Here is a 20,119-nt window from a genome sequence, read left to right on the forward strand (position 1 = left end):
TCGTCAGATATGAGCAGGGCAGGAGAGGACTCCTCACCCCACCAGAAATGTCAGGCAACCATCAGGTGATGGTCAGGCAGTTGTTACACCGTCTCTCTAAAATAATAATTGGTTGCAGCCGGCACCAGGGAAAGGCCGTCTCCTGACAGAGAGAAAACACCTGAAACTGGTGATCAGCAGCTTCCCAATAAGATCTCGGGAACTGGGCCAGTGGGCTCAAGAATGTGCATTAAGAGCAGAGTTTAACTGGCCTATAACCTCTTACGGAGGTTGAGCTGGTAAGGGAAGAATGCCTCAAGTGAGCATGCGTATGACTCCAAGAAACACACTGCGCATGCTCCCCTTCCAAGCCCCTGCGGGCCACTATGCAGGCGACCAGCCCACCCCAGGGGAAGAATCAGGGAAGAAGGGATGCAAGACCCCGGAAGTGTGCCAACATATTAAACCCCAAGTCAAAAGGTCAAACCGTGCACTTGTCTTTCAAGTCACCCCCTCGGCCGTCTTCCAAGTGTACTTTCCTCCTTCCTTTCATTCCTGCTATAAAGCTTTTTTTTTTTTTTTTTTTTTTTTTTTTTTTTTTGTAGACCGAGAGTCTTGCTCTGTCGCCCAGGCTGGAGTGCAGTGGTGCGATCTCAGCTCACTGCAACCTCTGCCTCCCGGGTTCAAGCCATTCTCCTGCCTCAGCCTCCCGAGTAGCTGGGACCACAGGTGCCCACCACCACGCCCGGCTAATTTTTTGTATTTAAGTAGAGATGGGGATTTCACTGTGTTGCCCAGGCTGGTCTCGAACTCCTGAGCTCAAGCAATCCACCTGCCTCGGCCTCCCAGAGTGCTAGGATTACAGGCGTGAGCCACTGCGCCTGGCCTCTTGCTGTAAAGCTTTTTAATAAACTTTCTCTCCTGCTCTAAAACTTGCCTCGGTCTCTCCTTCTGCCTTATGCCCCTCAGTCAAATTCTGTCTTCTAAGGAGGCAAGAATTGAGGTTGCTGCAGACCTATACGGATTTGCTGCCAGTAACGTTCTGGTGCCATGTCACTTGGATACCTTCCACTGTCACTCAAAGACCCCTTGATGTCTCATACATACCCTTGGCTTTAATGTAAACATTTCACTTACCTGAGAAAGGAGGAGGGGCTGATGCAGCTACAAGCTGGAGATCCACTACAAAAGAGGGAAAAATTATATGATGAGATGAGATAAATCATGTACCCTTATTTAGCTTTTCTAGTCTTTGATGCAACCAACTGAAATAATTTAATTCTACATATGTCATAAGGCTCTTGTTTTGCACACTAATACACTGAGGAAACCCCATTAAGTTGTGGGTCACTCACTGACAATTCAGAAAAGGCATCGGAGGAAGAAACACATTTTTCCAATTTCTTTCAACTTGCAGGCCAATATCTTAGGAACTATGGGGCTACAAAAACATATCATACAGTGCTACATAAATTACAGTCAAAGTGTTTTAGACATGAAATAACAACATTACATGAGTTAATTAAAACACGTGTTTTTTGGATGTGATTGTACCAAGACTGTTGATGGTGCAGAAATTTGGGTACCCTTATAAGTTGATAGAAGATTTGCTAATTGGAGCTACCATTTTGGAAAATAATTAAAAAAATTTCCCATGATGCCTTCAATGTGGTTTTGCACTTTCATCTAGACTCCTTGATGTTTTCAAAGTTCAGATGAATTTTGCAACATGCCCCCCCCACCCCACCTTTGGCAGCAGCTCAGTCACCATGTCACCAAGACAGAATAAATATGAGCTTCCCATCTCCTGTGAGGTCTCACAATTGAGTTTCTGGTCATTTGACTTCTGGGCAGAACATGAGCTGCCTTGAACCAGCATACTCATCCAAGACCCAGCCATCCACAATCTCCCCCATTTCATCTAGAATTTGCTATCAAAAAAAAAAAAGCATGATTGTGACACCTGGAAAAAATCTTTTTTAAATAAAAAAGTAAACAATGTAAAAATATTCTGATGTTTACAGAGAAATGGAGAGTGTGGTGGCATTTGCTTACTCAAAATATGTATTGCATGTTGGCTGTGAACTAGATTGCATTCTAGCCACTGATAATGCAGGCAATGGGGAATCCGACATCTGCACGGCTTCTTCGCATATTAAACATCACAAGGAGAGCTAAGAAGTTGCACAAACAAAACTCTGACAATCTGAGATGCTAAGACATTTTACCGACTGGAGGGAGGAGGCGGGGAGGGTGCATGTGGAGGTGCACTCATGAGATGCTACTCATGTGGAGATGAGGCCTGGGTCGGCTGAGCATCATCCAACCCTGCAATGTGCCTGGAAACTCCAAGTGCAGTCCCAGCTCATGTGCACCGCCTCAACAAGAGGGCAGTTTGCCCAGAGAAGGGGAGGCACAGCCATGAAGCTGATCTTGAACTCTAGACACCATTGCAGGGAAAGGAAGGTGATGGGATTGTGAGGATTCAGTGGAGGAAGGAAGATCAGTGACTGAGGACCACAAAGAGCAGACAGTCTACACCAGTGGTCCCCAACCTTTTTGGCACCTGGGACCGGTTTAGTGGAAGACAATTTTTTCCACGGACTGGAGAGGGAGGGGATGGTCTCAGGATGATTCAAGTGCAATACATTTATTGTGCACCTAAGTTCTATTATTACATTGTAATGTATAATGAAATAACTATACAAACAACTCACCATAATGTAGAATCAGTGGGAGCCCTGAGCTTGTTTTCCTGCAACTAGGTGGTCCCATCTCGGGGTGATGGGAGACAGTGACAGATCATCAGGTGTTAGATTCTCCTAAGGAGCATGCACCCTAGATCCCTCGCCTGCACAGTTCACAATAGGGTTCGCGCTCCTACGAGAATGTAATGCCACCACTGATCCGACAGGAGGCAGAGCGCAGGCGGTAATGCAAGCAATGGGGAGCAGCTGTAAACACAGATGAAGCTTCGCCTGCTCACCGTCCACTCACCTCCTCTGTGCAACCCGGTTTCTAACGGGCCACAGACCGGTACCAGTCCCTAGCCCGGGGGTTGGGGACTCCTGGTCTACACAGTCAACACTGTGACAATATTGCCCCAAACTACTAAAATACAACAGCAGCAACAGGCAAAACTCAGTTGAAATTGTTGAAAACCATTCCACAACATGTACTCACACATTTGTTCAACTATGTCCTTCTTCCTGGGCATTCAGTTTGGTTTCATTTTTTTCCCACCACAGACAATGCCTCAAATAATATCACTGCATACAACTTATCTTCATATGGGTGCTTTTATGTTATAGTATGGAATTCTAAAAGTGACTTTTTGTTCAAGAGACTTGTTTTAAAATTAATCTGTGCCCATACAACTACATAAAAGGTTAAAGCGATTTATAGCTCCTATGCAAATGTTAATATCCTTCCCTTCATAGAGCTTCATTGAAATTTTTCATGCTGTGTTACCCAAGACAAGGATCTGCTACTATTGAAGATACTGATTTCTGCATCATTGTAGTTATTCAAACAGAGCATGGCATTTTACAAATGTATTGGAGATATAAATGTATCTCCAGAGATTCAAGGAACTATCAGGAGATCTTTGGCAAATTGTCTGGGAGTTTCTAAACTTTAAAAAATTGTGTTTATGATGTTGAGCTTCTGTGAATGGATAAAACATTTTCCAGAACTTTTTAACAGATTACCTCAGGGAATATGACACCCCGAAAATGAAAAGCATGAGTATGGAAGAAATGATTAAATTGTGAAGAAAGTGGAACTAAATAGTCCTTATGTTTCTTCTGACTCTTAGAATCTTCTGTTCTTTACCCCCTAGGTTCGAGGGTTTCCACCCCTCTCCCAGGCCCCTTGAGCATTTCACTTCCTAGAGATGAACAAATGCCACCATTGTTGTGTTATCACACTGATAATACACTGACAATAGATTTCTCTTTTTTTTTTCTTTTTTGGCAAGAACATTTTATTTTATTCAAACTATTTTTTTTAATTTAATTTAAGTTCTGGGATACATGTGGAGGACATGCAGGTTTGTTACAAAGGTAAACATGTGCCATGGTGGTTTGCTGCACCTATCAAATCATCACCTAGATATTAAGCCCTGCACGCATTAGCTATTTATCTTCTTCTTTTTTTTTTTTTTTTTTTTTCAGATGGAGTTTCGCTCTTATTGCCCAGGCTGGACTGCTGTGGCACAATCTTGGCTCACTGCAACCCCCTCCTGGGTTCAGGTGATTCTCCTGCCTCAGCCTCCCACGTAGCCAGGACTACAGGCATGTACCACCACACCTGGCTAATTTTGTATGTTTAGTAGAGACAGGGTTTCACCATGTTGAGCAGGCTGGTCTCGAACTCCCGACCTTAGGTGATCCTCCCCCCTCGGCCTCCCAAAGTTCTGGGTTTACAGGCATGAGGCACCGTATCTGGCCTTTTAGCTATTTATCTAGATGTTCTCCCTTCCCACATCACCCAAAAGGCCCCAGTGTGTGTTGTTCCCCTCCCTGTGTCCATGTGTTTTAACACTGACAATAGATTTCTTTTCTTCTCTGGGAAAGAACCATAAACAAGATTTCTTCTTTGAAATCCAAGGATAGAGGTACATGATGGATCCCTGTCTAAAAATGCCAGCCTCGCCCACTCACCTACCTGGCTTCACCTCAGTATCCCACACCAAAGTCCCATGTCTTTTTTCAGTAATCTCAAGTTGAATGGGTTCCTTCATCTGCCCAGCATAGAATTTTGAGAAGTGCTGAATTTCTCCAGGGCTCCTGTAGGACAATTTCAACTCCTAGAGGAAACACATCAGTTGACTTGAAGCAGTGGAGGGTGGAAAGGCCCGGCTCCCTACAGTGAACTGGCCAATGGAACTTAACCCGTTTCCTGTGCAATGTCATGGCTGGTTGAGTGGGAAACAGAGGGAGAGAGGTAAACAGCTCTTTACATTTACAATGTTAGGAAATGCTTTTATACCAGGAAGGGAAGAATAACCTAGCTGTCAACACCACATGAGTCAGAGAAAAACTATCTGAGCTACCAACTGAATACAAACGTCTTAGATTTTGAGGGTTTTGAGGCCCCTCATTAATGATGCGACCAGCTCAGAATCCGAGATTCTATAGAGAAGCAAGAAAGCTTCCAAAGCAGCCCCATCAGGTCTCTCTGAGCCTCGCTGGGAAGCCGGGGTCAGATAAGCCATTTCAGGTCCCTCTCTGTTTTGCACCCAGTCTCCCCAGGATTCCTAAAAAAAGCTGCCCTGGGGAGCAAGAAAGCCCCTTATGCAGGACAGAATTAGGAAAAGCTTAGCTCATGCAAATCTCTAGTTTCTTCAGAAAACAAGCCCCCCGACCCAGCTCTTGGAAAATAGGGATTTAAAAAATTACAAAGGGTGAGATTGTTGGCTGGAATCTTTTTAAATGGAAGATGACTCTGAGGAGAGTTTACCTCGCTCAAGATCATCACCTCTAGGGCGGGCGCGGTGACTCACACCTGTAGTCCCAGCACTTTGGGAGACTGAGGTGACCGATTGCTTGAGGTCAGGAGCTCAAGACCAGCCTGGCCAATATGTTGAAACCCCCATCTCTACTAAAAATACAACAATTAGCCAGGCGTGGTGGCAGGTGCCTGTAGTCCCAGCTACTCAGGAGGCTGAGGCAGGAGAATCGCTTGAACCCAGGGAAAGAAGGTTGCAGTGAGCAGACATTGCGCCACTGCACTCCAGCCTGGGCGACAGAGTAAGACTCTGTCTCAAAAAAAGATTATCACCTCAGGTTGCAATTGCCACTTCTTATCTCACATTTACTATGTTGTATCATTCTGGATGAAATACCCTGCATTTTATTTATTTATTTCTATATCAGCAATGTTTATGGAAGGTTCTGCAACAGCCAAGAATGTATCTTGCCTGAAGGACAACCAAACTTCTGGGGAAGGCAGTCCCTGCTTCATATTAATTGCTGTGGAGTTTATCAAGGAAACTGGGAACTAAAATCAGAGCAAGGTTGGGCACTTTATTAAATTCTTATGCTCTAGTATACTTAGAAAAAGATCACTGAACTGATGTCTGCAATAAGCTTCACATCTTGTTGTCTATATGGCTGGAAAAATCATTTTTCCTATTTTAGCCTTAGTGTCCAAAAAGGAGACATGTAAATACTGACACCTAACCCTCTTGTTTCTCACCTCTTCCAAGGTCCGCAAACAGGAAAAAGCCATCTACGCCAAAACAATAACATTGGTCCGTCCCATTCTGAATTAAAGACCTTGAAATCACTGGGATGTGTTTTCCCATTAAAACTGGAAAACAATTAAATCTTGATACTTTGTTCTAGAGATGGTATATTGTGCTGGACAACCTCATCTTTATTTTAGAGAACATATGCTGTGAGACATCTTTGAAAATCTATTTGGGGCCAGGTGTGGTGGCTCGAGCCTGTAATCTCAGCACTTTGGGAGGCCAAGGTGGGCAGATCACGAGGTCAGGAGTTCGAGACCAGCCTGGCCAACATGGTGAAACCCCGTCTCTACTAAAAATAAAAAATCAGCCGGGAGTGGTGGTGCATGCCTGTAATCCCAGTTACTCAGGAGGCTGAGGCAGGAGAATCACTTGAACCTGGGAGGCGGCGGTTGTAGTGGGCCAAGACCACACCACTGCACTCCAGCTTGGGCAACAGAGCGAGACTCCATCAAAAAAGAAGGAAAGAAAGAGAGAAAGAGGGAAAGAAAGGAAAGGAAAGGAAGGAAGGAAGGAAGGAAGGAAGGAAGGAAGGAAGGAAAGAAAGAAAGAAAAAGAAAGAAAGAAAGAGAGAAAGAGGGAAAAAAGAAAGAGGAAGGAAGGAAGGAAGGAAATCTATTTGGAAATATACTAGCTTTAAGTTGGTTAATACTCTTTGAATCAGTAATTTCATTTAGGACACTCTAGCCCTGCAGGAAAAATGTAAAACCATATGAATGGAAAGACTTCTTGCCAGGGCACTTCTTGGGAGAAATTACATGCGACTAAATGTTGAATAATCATGAAATAATGAAAAAAGCTCTAGGGATTTCGCTACATGGCATATCATGTCCCAGTAAATCTGTATGTAGGAATAATTTAAATTGCACAGAATTATATAGTAATCTCCATTTAAAAATATATAAAATGAAATATATAACATAAAATCAGCTCTTCCTTCAACTACCTTAACAAATACATATTAAGTGCGTTAGTTAGGCAAGACATCAGGACTGAAGATAATTATAACAGGGAAATGGAAATTTCAGTTTGGGAAACTCAATGTGTAGTTTTAACCTAACATAAGTATGTCAAATACTAAAATGTTACCTCTGCCTTAGGGTCTTGGAAATATGCAATATGATTAATACTATTTTTCTATAATTTCAATTTTTTTAAAGGGCATATTTGTGATTAATAAAAGAAAAATGTTGCATTTTGCTAAGATTCTTCCATTTGTTTCAGAAATATAAAACACTCTGAAACCTGCTGAGTTGGGTTTGAATTCTACTAACCTTGGGCATTACTTTCAGGTTAGCAGAATTAGACACAATATAACTGGAACCAAAGTTCAGGGGTTCCATTGGGGGCGAAGTCTGCAGGCGCACACCATGGAAGCGATCTTCCTCATCATCTATCGCCTAAGGAAGAAGGGGCAGAAACATTAGAGAGCACAAAAAATAGTAAAGCAAGTAGTGGCATAAAAAGTTATTTATATGGTATATTAAGTAGCACGTAGGCTATGATTCAATTGATATAAAGATTAAGGTATTCAACTGATATAAAGATTGTGATAGGTAGATACACAGATATGAATGAATATGTCTCTATGCACAAAGAGACATATTGATGAAATTTTACTGAAAGATATCTCAGGGCCAAAGGATTTCTTGTGAATGTGAACTTATAAATTCTTGTATAGTTTGCTTTTATTTTTACACTGTGGAAAGATTGGCTGCGTACTTATGAAAGCACAGGACAGAAGGACTTCTTTTTGGTGCCTCAGCAGAGAACTGGTAGCTCAGCTGTGTCTGTGAACACGTCTATGATGGACAAGGGTAGAGATGTTACTTCTCTCCGTCACAGGGCTGCTGTGAGATGCTCAATCACCTGACCACCAGCGAGCAGAAACAGTCACCTCTGCGAGGCCCAGCAGCCACAGCAGAAAGCGAGACCTCAAAACTATCTCTAAGCAGCCAGGCACGGTGGTTCACACCTGTAATCCTAGCGCTTTGGGAGGCCGAGGTGGGCAGATCACAAGGTCAGGAGTTTGAGACCAGCGTGGCCAGCATGGCGAAACCCCGTCTCTACTAAAAATATAAAAATTAGCCGGGCGTGGTGGCGGGCGCCTGTAATCCCAGCTACTCTGGAGGCTGAGGCAGGAGAATCACTTGAACCCAGGAGGCAGAGATTGCAGTGAGCCGAGATTGCGCCACTGCATTCCAGCCTGGGCGACAGAGCGAGACTCTGTCTCACCAAAAAAAAAAAAAATCTATCTGAGCAGCCATCAAAGACACAGAATGGAATTCAAACAAAACCTTTCTACCTTTGGGAAGTCTCAGGTACAACTCAATAGAGACTTTGTAGAATTAATGAGCAAGGAATTTATGCTAAAAACAATGACTGTCAGTGATATTATTAGTCCAGCTGATCGACTCCCTTGCAGGATAATGACCAAGAGGGACACAAGGGGACTTTGGGGAAGCTGGTGATGTCTTGTTGCCTGTTCTAGGTGCTGCATATGTGAGTGTGTCAACTATGAAAATTATGAAGCAATAAATTATGTACATATTTCATTAAAAGTAGAGGCCAGGTGCAGTGGCTTATGCCTGTAATCCCAGCACTTTGGGAGGCCGAGGCAGGCAGATCACCTGAGGTCAGGAGTTCGAGACCAGACTGGACAACATGGTGAAACCCCATGTCTACTAAAAATACAAAAATTAGCTGGGCGTGGTGGTGAGTGCCTATAATACCAGCTACTCGGGAGGCTGAGGCAGGAGAATCGCATGAACCTGGGAGGCAGAGTTTGCAGTGAGTCGGGATCGCACCACTGTACTCCAGCCTGAGCGACAGAGCAAGACTCTGTCTCAAAAAAAAAAAAAGAAATAAAGAAATGTCAGCAGATCTCTATGAAGAAAAGGATGGCCCATGGAGAAAACCTGAATTGGGCCTGGGAAATCAAATAAAAGAAAAATTTCATATTGTATTGAGCAAAGAGATGAAACTATGATGGGGGTAAGGCAGAGAAGGGATGTGGAGAACTATCCAGGAGGCATCACATATATGTTTAGAAAAAGAACCAGTTTCCGAAGGGTCAAAAGAAACTGATGGGGGAAAGAAATAACATATCATACCATCTCTGATGAACAATTCTTTTACATGAACAGATATGTTTAAATTAAATTATAGTAATAACAGATTAGAACTAAATCACCAAATAAATCCATATCACATTGCTAGGGTTATGATTACGGACAGATTTCTGTAGGTGTTGAGAGACATACCACTGGATTAATTTTCTTAACCTTCTTTATTTGTTATAGTTCTTATCATATGCACATATATTTTTCCTATAGCATTCCATGTAATATCTTTGGTTGTCATGTTTTTGCCTCTTTTGTTCACTGATGTATCCTCAGCCTCTAAAATAGTGTCTGGAATATATAAGGCACACAACAAATATTTATTGGATGAATAAATGGGTTTCCCTGGAACAGTACTGTTGAATAGAAATGTACTGCAACCCCCAAATGCAATTTTTTTTTGAGATGGAGTCTCGCTCTGTCACCCAGGCTGGAGTATAGTGGTGTGATCTCAGCTCACTGCAACCTCTGCCTCCCAGGTTCAAGCGATTCTCCTGCCTCAGCCTCCTGAGTAGCTGGGATTACAGGCGCATGCCAGCACGCCCGGCTAATTTTTGTATTTTTAGTAGAGACGGAGTTTCACCATGTTGGTCAGGCTGGTCTCGAACTCCTGACCTCAAGATCCGCCCACCTCGGCCTCCCAAAGTGCTGGGATTACAGGCGTGACCAAATGCAATTTTTAATTTCATAGCAGCCACATTTTTTAAAAACAGCAAAGAGAGGCAGATGAAATGGCTTTTAGTAATGTATTTCATTTAACTCACAATATCATTTAGGCATGTAACCAACACAAAAAATAATTGCTATTTATGTGCTTCCCTTCATATTGTCTTCCAAATCTGTGTATGTGTATTAATATGTGTATTAAAACTTAAATACTTAAGTTTTAGAGTACATCTCAACTCACATACTCAATAGCCACATGCTATTGCCGGCCATTCAAGCCTATAGCTGGCCAGTGGTTATAGAGTTGAACTGTGCTGCTCTTGAAATAGGGCAGGGAAGTTCTCAGTGCAACAATAGATATTTAGAGTTTGATTATGGTTTGAAGTGAAGAAGAGGTTTCTCCTCTCTTCTTCCCTTATCCTACCCTGAATAGGGAAGAAGCAGACAGACCACTTTTCATTCAATGGGTCAACAAAATTTCAAGAGGTACCTACAACAGGCCTCACCTTGTGCTTTTTTTTTTTTTTTTTGAGATGGAGTCTCGCTCTGTCGCCCAGGCTGGAGTGCAGTGGTGCGATCTCGGCTCACTGAAGCTCCACCTCCCAGGTTCAGCCATTCTCCCACCTCAGCCTCCCGAGTAGCTGGGACTACAGGCACCTGCCACCGTGCCCGGCTAATTGTTTGTATTGTTAGTAGAGACGGGGTTTCACCGTGTTAGCCAGGATGGTCTCGATCTCCTGCCCTCGTGATCCGCCCACCTCGGCCTCCCAAAGTCCTGGGATTACAGGTGTGAGCCACCGCACCCGGCCCTCCTTGTGCTTTTAACTAATTTATGATTAAACAGAAATGGTCCTGCCCATGATATAGAGTACACAATTTACAGAGAAGCAGATCATAAATAAATAGACATGTGACCACAACAGAGGGAAAGAAGAGGGTACAGTGATCAAGAACAATGGGAGAACTGGAGGGCACGGTGGCTCACACCTGTAATCTCAGCACTTTGGGAGGCTGAGGTGGGCAGATCATTTGAGGTCAGGAGTTTGAGACCAGCCTGGCCAACATGGTGAAACCCCATTTCTACTAAAAATACAAGAATTAGTGGGGTGTGGTGGCGCATGCCTGTAGTCTCAGCTACTCGGGACGCTGAGGCAGGAGAATCGCTTGAACCCGGTAGGCAGAGGTTGCAGTGAGCTGCGACTGTGGCACTGCACTCCAGCCTGGGCGACAGGGCAAGACCCCTTCTCAAAAATAAATAAATAAAGGGAGGGATGGACCAGACTAGAGGGCCTACTAAAGGCTTTCGGAAGCAGAAATCTTTAGGCAAAGACTAGAAAGAGACTAGAAAGATGAGCAGGAGCCAGTCTTGCAAGGGAAACACAAAGGGTAAGAGCCCAGAAGCAGGAATTCTTGGAGTATTTGAGGGATGAAAATTCAGGACAGAAGTGCTGGAACATAATGAGTGAGAAGAGAGTGATAGGAGATGGATAACTGAGATGTTCTAGGGTCACAAGAAGTCATGGCTTCAGCTGGGCACAGTGGCTCACACCTGTAATCTCAGCACTTTGGGAGGCTGAGGCGGGTGGATCACCTGAGGTCAGGAGTTCAAGACCAGCCTGACCAATATGGTGAAACCGTGTCTCTACTAAAAATACGAAAATTAGCCGGGCATGGTGGCGTGCGCCTATAGTCCCAGCTACTCAGGAGGCTGAGACAGGAGAATTGTTTGAACCTGGGAGACGGAGGTTGCAGTGAGCTGAGATCACGCCCACTGCACTCCAGCCTGGGGGACACAGCAAGACTCCGTCTCAAAAAAAAAAAAAAAAAAAGCCATGGCCTCTAGGCCATAGTAAATTATTTGATTCATGTTCTAAGTGTAACGTGAATCCATTAAAGAATCTTTGGCCAAAGTGTGATGTAGTAATGTATTTTTTAAGTGTATTAGAATTAAAAAATTTTAATTTTTTTTCTTTCCAACATTTATTTTATTTATTGATTTATTTAAGACAGAGTTTCGTTCTGTTGCCTGGAGTGCAGTGGCAAAATCTTGGCTCACTGCAACCTCTGCCTCCTGGGTTCAAGCAATTCTCATGCCTCCACCTCCCAAGTAGCTGGGATTACAGGCATGTGCCATCACATCCAGCTAATTTTTTGTATTTTTAGTACAGATGGGGTTTCACCATATTGGCCAGGCTGGTCTCGAACTCCTGGCCTCAAGTGATCTGCTTGCCTCGGCCTCCCAAAGTGCTGAGATTATAGGCATGAGCCACCATGCCCAGCCCCATCATTTATTTTAGGTTCAAGAAGTACATGTGCAGATTTGTTGTATGGGCCAATTGCATGTAATGGGGGTATTACTTATTTTGCAAAAAATCTCCCTGTTCCTAGATTTTAAAAATAGGTGGTAAATGAAAAACAATGGAACCAGTGAGATAAGCTTGAAGACTTTATCCATATTTCTAGCAAAAATGGCAGTGGATGGCACTAAAGCTGGCAGTGAAGCTGAACGGAGTAAAACTGGTTCAAGTTATGCTATGAAAATGAAAAGAATCAAAATTGATGAGATGCTGGATGTGGGAAAGAAAAGAAATCGAGGCCGAGGGGGGCAGATCACTTGAGGTCAAGAGTTCAAGACCAGCCTGGCAAACACGGTGAACCCTGTCTCTACTAAAAAATAAATACATAAATAAAATAAAAAAATACAAATAGCTGGGCGTGGTGGCAGACACCATAATCCCGGTGAGGCATGAGAATCACTTCACTTGAACCTGGGAGGCAGAGGTTGCAGTGAGCTGAGATTGCACCACTGCACTCCAGCCTGGTGACACAGCAAGACTCCGTCTCAAAAAAAAAAAAAAAGAAAGAAAAGAAAATAAGTGGAGGAATTAAAGATGAACACTAGAGTATGGCTTGAATGACTCAATGAAATTTAGTCTCTACCCTGAATGGGGAAGAGAGTTGAATAAATCGCTTAAAGGGAGAAAGTTGAGTCAATATATACAATTAGATATGCCAAATAAACACTCATATGGAGAGGGGAGGTTGGCGGTTCCAAGTTGGAGCTCTGGAGAATGTTCAGGACTGGAGATATAGACTGAGAAATCCTCTGCTTGTGGGGAATTCAGTTACGAGACGAAGAATTCATCAAGTCCGTCAGTGAAGACAGAAAAGAGAAAGGAGAGTCCAAGATTCAGCCCTGGAAACTCAATATTCAGAGAAGGTTTCAGAGCAAGAACCTGCAGAGGCGATTTGAGGAGAGACTCAGAAAAGTCACGGAGATGCCAGGAGCAGTGGTCCATGCTTGTAATCCCAACACTTTGGGAGGCCAAGGCGGGCAGATCACAAGGTCAGGAGTTCAAGACCAGCCTGTCCAACACTGTGAAACCCCATCTCTATTAAAAATACAAGAATTAGCCAGGTGTGGTGGTGTGTGCCTGTAATCCCAACTACTCAGGAGACTGAGGCAGGAGAATCACTTGAACCCAGGAAGCAGAGGTTGCAGTGGGCCGAGATCACACCACTGCACTCCAGCCTGGGTGAGAGGGCTAGACTCCATCACAAAAAAAAAAAAAAGGAAAGAAAAGAAAAGTCACAGGGAAATTGGGATAATATGGTGTCGCAGGATCATATAGAGCAGAGATCCCCAACACCCGGGCCGCAGACCAGTACCAGTGTGTGAGCTGTTAGGAATCGGGCTGCACAGCAGGAGAGGAGCAGTGAGGGAGCAAACCTTCATCTGTATTTACAGCCACTCCCCATCACTCACATTACCGCCTGAGCTCCTCCTGTCAGATCAGCAGTGGCATCAGATTCTCATACGAGCGTGAACCCTGCTGTGAACTGCCCATGCAAGGGATCTAGGTTGCACGCCCTTTATGAGAATCTAATGCCTGATGATCTGTAAGTGTCTCCCATTACCCCCAGATGGAACCATCTAGCTGCAGAAAAAGAAGCTCAGGGCTCCCACTGATTTTACATTATGGTGAGTTGTGTAATTATTTCATCATATATTACAATGTAATAATAATCGAAATAAAGTGCACAATAACTTTAATGTGCTTGAATCATCCCAAAACCATTCACCACCCTGGTCTGTGGAAAAATGGTCTTCTGCAAAACTACTTCCTGGTGCCTAAAAGGTTGGGAACTGCTGTTATAGAAGAGTGTTTCCAAGGAAGAGCGTGGTCAGTGGAATAGCATTCCACTGAGACCCCAGGTAAGAATGAGTTGACACAAAGTCACTGACTGGGTGACGCTAAACAGAGCCATTCTAAGGAAGGGTGGCAAGGTCATCCACACAGAGAGATCTGGGAACAGAGTGAGAACTGAGGAATATGGAGACTTCGGGTACATGGAGCTGTTGATCCATTCATTGAGAAGCATAAGGGAAAAATTGGAAGTATGACTGCAGGAGGGAGAGCAGTCAAGGACAGCATTTCCAATGTGGGGGCCATTCTAGATTTTGGCGGGTGGAAGGGAGTGATGCCCTAGGGTAGGAGAGATTGACGGTGGAGGGGAAAGAGGATGCCTCGGGTGTGGCTCCCACATAAGGGAAGAGGGAAAGGGACCCAAGACTCATGTTAAGTAGTGTCCTTGTGTACGAAGAGGGAGGCGGCCGGGCGCGGTGGCTCATGCCTGTAATCCCAGAACTTCGGGAGGCTGAGGTGGGTGCATCACTTTAGGTCAGGAGTTCAAGGCTAGCCTGGCCAACATGGTGAAACCTCACCTCTACTGAAAATACAAAAATTACCAGGACGTGGTGGCACACATCCGTAATCCCAGCTACTCGGGAGGCTGAGGCAGGAGAATCGCTTGAACCCGGGAGGCGGAGGTTTCAGTGAGCCGCAATTGCCACTGCATTCTAGCCTGGGCAACAGAACAAGACTCTGTCTCAAAAAAGAAAAAAAGAAAAGAAAAGAAAAAGAACAAGGAGGCTTCTTGGGTTTCAGAGGAAAGAAATAGGTGAAGACGGGCCAGAAACAGGCTCACAGAGCTGACAGTGAAACAATGAGGTTTTTCCATCCCATTTTGTTTCTAGTATATCAATAAGGTATGAAGCAAGTAAGCATATGAGATTTGGGAATGATGAAAGAAGAGGCACTAAGTGAAGGATAGGAAAAGGGTGGGCTCAGAATGAAAACAGAAGTTATGCAAGAATTCACTGGAATGTATGTATTTCTGGCCCACTCTAGGAATAGTCATCTTTATCATTCAGATTAAAATGTTTTCTCCTGTATTTAAGTACCCACAGTTACTCACCACCCTAAGTCCTGACAGGCAGGCACCTGCCTCTCATTCTTGGGATGTTGGAGCATTAGACGGGGGGACGATACAATTTAATGTAATCTTTCTGGCATAATCGCCCCACCTAGGCTGGAAGGACAGAAGTGGGACTTTATCCAGGTGCACAGCAGCTACAGCAACCAGCACGTCTGCTTCATCACTAACTCAGAAGAGAGTGTGGGAATATGAGCCTTTAATAAGTGCATTAGAGGGAGATGCTACTGAACAGGAGGAGGGTTACTCCAGAGATGTGAGTGTGCCTGTCAGTGTAATTCACATATTATCCATTTAAAATTTGGTGAGAGGCCAGGGGTGGTGGCTCACGCCTGTAATCCCAACACTTCGGGAGGCCAAGGCAGGTGGATCACCTGAGGTCAGGAGTTCAAAACCAGCCTGGCCAACATGGTGAAACCCCGTCTCTACTACAAATACAAAAATTAGCCAGGCATAGTGGCGGGCACCTGCAATCCCAGCTACTCAAGAGGCTGAGGCAGGAGAATCGCTTGAACCCGAGAAGTGGATGTTGCAGTGAGCCAAGATTGCGCCAGTTCACTCCAGCCTGGGTGACAGAGTAAGACTCTGTCTCTAAAAAAAGAAAAAAACAACCTGGTGAAAAAATCTCTGCATCTTCTCTGTCAGCTGGTCCCCCAAAATCACTAACTTTCTCCTTCTTGAGAGCCAGAAAAGGGAATTTCCTTTTTCAGTAGCACTGAATCACTACTGAAGATGGTTAGGGAAGCACATAGCTCCAGAGTCAGCACCTTGGATGAACCTCAGGAAGGGTGACTCCTGCTTCTGTCCATGAAAACCATGCCTTGCCCTTTCTGTTCCACGAGGAACTGGAGGGGCCAAGGGGATAACCTGGAAATATAATCGTCATCTTCTCTGGTCTCCTAAATCACTCAGCTTACCTTTGTTAGCAAGGCGTCGCTGGGGACAAGGTACAAGTGGAACTTAATATCTTCGGGGTGGGGGTGATAATAGATCAATGTGTTGGAAGTGATGGGGATGGAGAGGCGAGTCCCACTGGCGATCCGCAGCAGGATGCCCATCAGAGAGAAGCTGGGGCTTTCCAGGACAGCATAGAAAGGCTCCACCCGGGCTGGATGCTCCAGGACCATCCCTTCATTCTTAAAATGGGCAACGAGAAACCAGGAGACGTCCACCTCACCTGCTGCAGGAGAACCACAACAGCAGTGAGACGGCACGCACCCCAGCGGCCCCCACAGCCTCCGCTCACCCCACATTACCTTGGAGGGAGATGAAGTGGGGGAGGTGGATTTCGGCGACAGCCTCCTCTGGCTCTGCAGTGACATCAAACAAGGGGCCGCCCACCAGCCACTGTTCATGGTGCTGCAGGTCCAGGGCCAGGTGCTGACTCCAGGAACCAAACGCAATCGTCACTGTGACCTCATCCCTTACCAGGAAGCCGAGGCCTGTGGCTGACCACAGATACCAGCCAGCAGTGGGGAACCAAACGCTGAAAGGAGCCAGAGTGATGTCATGACGGGAGAACCCCAGGACTTGGATTTAAGCAGCGATGTGCAGAGGGAGGTGGGATTTGAAGTGAGGCAAGGTTCAGGACCCATCTGCGACTTTCACTACATTAGAAAACGCTGGGGAGTTCATTAACCTCTCTGGGCCCCAATTTCTCTGCATTCTATATATGTTGAAATTAAAATACCAACTTCACAGTGCATGAAATAAACATATTATTGATGAAATTTTAGCTATCATAAGGGATGGAACCGATACGCTTCCTTTTGTATTTATATTTTTATTTATTTATTTATTTTGAGACAAAGTCTCGCTCTGTCTCCTAGGCTGCAGTGCAGTGGCGAGATCTCATCTCACTGCAACCTCTGCCCCCTGGGTTCAAGAGATTCTCCTTTCTCAGCCTCCTGATTAGCTGGGACTACACGCGGGTGCCACCACGCCTGACTAATTTTTGTATTTTTAGTAGAGACAGGGTTTCGTCATGTTGGCCAGGCTGGTCTCGAACTCCTGACCTTGTGATCCGCCCTCCTCCACCTCCCAAAGTGCCGAGATTACAGGCCTGAGCCACCACGCCTGGCCTACACACTTCCTTTATATCAGAGTGGTTTTCAAATCATCAGCATCTTCCATTCTTACCTGTATCTGTTTGTGCTCTTATCAATCAACTCAACATCCACATTTCCTTCAGGCCCCAGAAACTGACGATTTTTATAATCTTCTTCGATCTCAAAACAGACTTTAGAAGCATAAGAGGAAACTATTTGATTCTCTTCTGAGCAAATGTCTCCTGAAAAGAAAATACTAGACATGTAAGAGGTAAAGGGTTGGAAGAGGCATGGCCTGAAGGACTCCTGGAGGCTGAATTGCACAGGTGCTGTTGGGATACAGATATCGAATGAGAGCTGAGAGTGACCAGAATATGCAGTTTCGCTTCTTTGAATCCAGACAAAGAAAGGCACAAGAATGTTCCTTGTCATGACTAAACGTATACACCAAATTCCATAAGACTTTCTGGGAAGCCAGGCTGGACAGCTTTGGTGGGAGGCACCATTTGCTGAGGACTGGAACCAATGCACCTACATTTCTACTGGTCCGAAATAGCAGAAGACACTTTCTGCTGGTGAGGAAAGTCCAGGTCAGAAAAGTATCGAACTCCAAAGATGCAGAGGCGAAAGAGCGTGCATCCTTCCTAGGCCCTGCTGCTGTCCCCAGCCACCAGGACCACCCACTGACTCCCCTGAGCATTTCCATGCCCCAGCAGTGACAGGCTTACATGTCCCCATTTAAACTGCACAGTGCACTGTGGCAAAGGTAAGGGAAAGCACTCCTGATCTGCACAAAAGACTCTAAATTGTCTTCTTCACATAAAATCACAGAACATTTCCATCAATCCACACGCCCTTCACTCCTCTCCCTATTAGCCCATTACCTGAATCTTGTCCCTCTGAAGATTCCTGCTCTTCTGATACACTGGAGGTTGGGATCCCCATGTTACAAAAAGATGAAAAACATCAAGAATCAGTTGATGAAGATGAAGACGATGTTATTGAAAACTAGAGCTGCACTGTCCCGTAGAGTAGCCGCTACCCGGATATGCTATTTAAATTTGTATGAATTAAACTTAGGTAAACTTTAGTTTCTCAGTTGCACTATCCATATTTCAAGTGCTCAACAGCTACATATCACTCACGGCTATAACACTGTGTAGCAGAGAATGGAACACTCCCGTCATCACAGAAAGTTCTCTTAGACTGGGCGGATCTAGACTATCAAGAAATAGAAGACATTTTGAATGAAGATATTTTTATCCACATTTATAAATAATAGAGATAACACACTCCCTTGAGCCAAATGTGTCTTGACATCTCTCCTTCTTCTCTTTGTATTATGCCCACGTTCAATGTGGACACAGCCAGATTCTCTGGCTTAAATTGATTGCTCCGATTGGTATCATACGATGTCGGAATCAAAGACTGAAGCAGTAATTCACCAATGCGTAAAATGTATGCATTTATATTCCAAGGTAATTCCAAACTTGACCACACCTGGGAAGCTTTAAAAACCACCCAATACCAGGTCACAGCCCACATCAATTGAATCAGAAGTCTGGAGGTGGCACCAAAGCATCGGCGCTTTCAAAGCCTCACAGGTGATTCCAATATTAGCCAATATGGGTTCTATGACATACAGCGTGAGCCAATGGTTCGTCATGCCTCTGGAGAGAAACCTGCCCTAACACAGGTGATACCTTCTGGAGCAAGGCAACCAACTCCATCAAATTCTCTGCCTTTGATCCATTCCTTGAGATATCTGTTTATTTCGACGTGAAAGAGACCAGCAGAGAAACTGACACGTGGATTAGGTTTAAAAAGAACAGGTACCTAGAGAAGTGGGATGAAGAGAAAGGCTTTACAGCGCTTTTCTCGGAAGGATTCTGTGGGCAAGCCAAGCATGGAGAGACCCCTGGGCTGACATCCTAAGACTGGTTGCTGTCTGCGGCTACACATTTTGCTATGGATTCGGGTAGCTACAGGCAAAGCAGCAAGAGTAAACATGCCATTTTATATTCTCTTTCCTGGTGCATGTGCATGCTGGAGTCTGCCTGCTGAGGAGGGGTTTAGAAAGTGGGAGGAACCCAGCGCTGAACTGCAGACAGCGCATCCCAGATCATGAGAGCTGACGGTTCCATTTTCAGGGCTTTTGCAACCAAGTTGTTCAACACAACCATTAGTCTAAATTAAATGATACAAGCTAACATTTAAATAAATCATATTAAAAACAAAAGTAATACATATTAAAACATACCAATTTCCAGTCATTTTTCTACACTTTTCAGCAGTCTATGCCCTTGAGGTTATTTATGTCTCTTGTATCTGTGTGGTGAAAGCAGGATGACAGACTTCTGCATGTGTTCTTTCAACTCCCTCATCAGGGGCTTCACGTTGGTAGTTTGAAATCTGCCATGATGGGGATATTCAACCCTTGGAAATTGGCATACCCTACAAATAGACGCATTCTCCCCTCCCCGGTGTTAAACCTCAGGACCCCACTGTGGCCTTCAGCCTCATCATCAGCCAGTTTCCTAGAGAATTAGGTTGGTTTTATGTATTGAGTAACAGCTTAACCAATAACCCACTGGTCTTCGATTGCATTGCTCATTGCCTTTTTGTGTATAGGTTCTCTAGACACCTCCATGGAAGAAAACCTCATTGCTTAAGGTTTGTTTCAAAAATTTCTGGATTCATTGCTAGTATTGCATAAGCTCATTCATTCTCCCCTGAGTTCGATGAAAAACACCCAAATTCCTCTAATTCTCATG

At 44.5% G+C, this 20,119-nt stretch overlaps 1 protein-coding gene across 20 annotated transcripts in view; it reads right to left on the bottom strand.

The window, feature by feature from the left end:
- CARD8 (caspase recruitment domain family member 8) overlaps window positions 1–20,119 on the bottom strand; it is a 52,799-nt gene that overhangs the window by 11,076 nt on the left and 21,604 nt on the right. For 5 of the 20 annotated variants that reach the window (NM_014959.5, NM_001184900.3, NM_001351782.2 and 2 more), the window contains 7 exons: window positions 18,230–18,270; window positions 17,437–17,587; window positions 16,554–16,783; window positions 16,215–16,477; window positions 7,507–7,632; window positions 4,648–4,789; window positions 1,117–1,161 (listed from right to left, as the gene is read on the bottom strand). In NM_014959.5, coding sequence (NP_055774.2) covers window positions 1,117–1,161; window positions 4,648–4,789; window positions 7,507–7,632; window positions 16,215–16,477; window positions 16,554–16,783; window positions 17,437–17,587; window positions 18,230–18,270 — 998 coding nt within the window. Of the gene's footprint in view, window positions 1–1,116; window positions 1,162–4,647; window positions 4,790–7,506; window positions 7,633–16,214; window positions 16,478–16,553; window positions 16,784–17,436; window positions 17,588–18,229; window positions 18,271–19,605; window positions 19,758–20,119 lie in introns of all 20 variants that reach the window. The other 15 variants (NM_001351788.2, NM_001351789.2, NM_001184902.2 and 12 more) reach the window with 7 other exon arrangements.

This window comes from Homo sapiens, chromosome 19 (genome assembly GCF_000001405.40).
Source record: "Homo sapiens chromosome 19, GRCh38.p14 Primary Assembly".
NCBI classification, from domain to species: domain Eukaryota; kingdom Metazoa; phylum Chordata; class Mammalia; order Primates; family Hominidae; genus Homo; species Homo sapiens.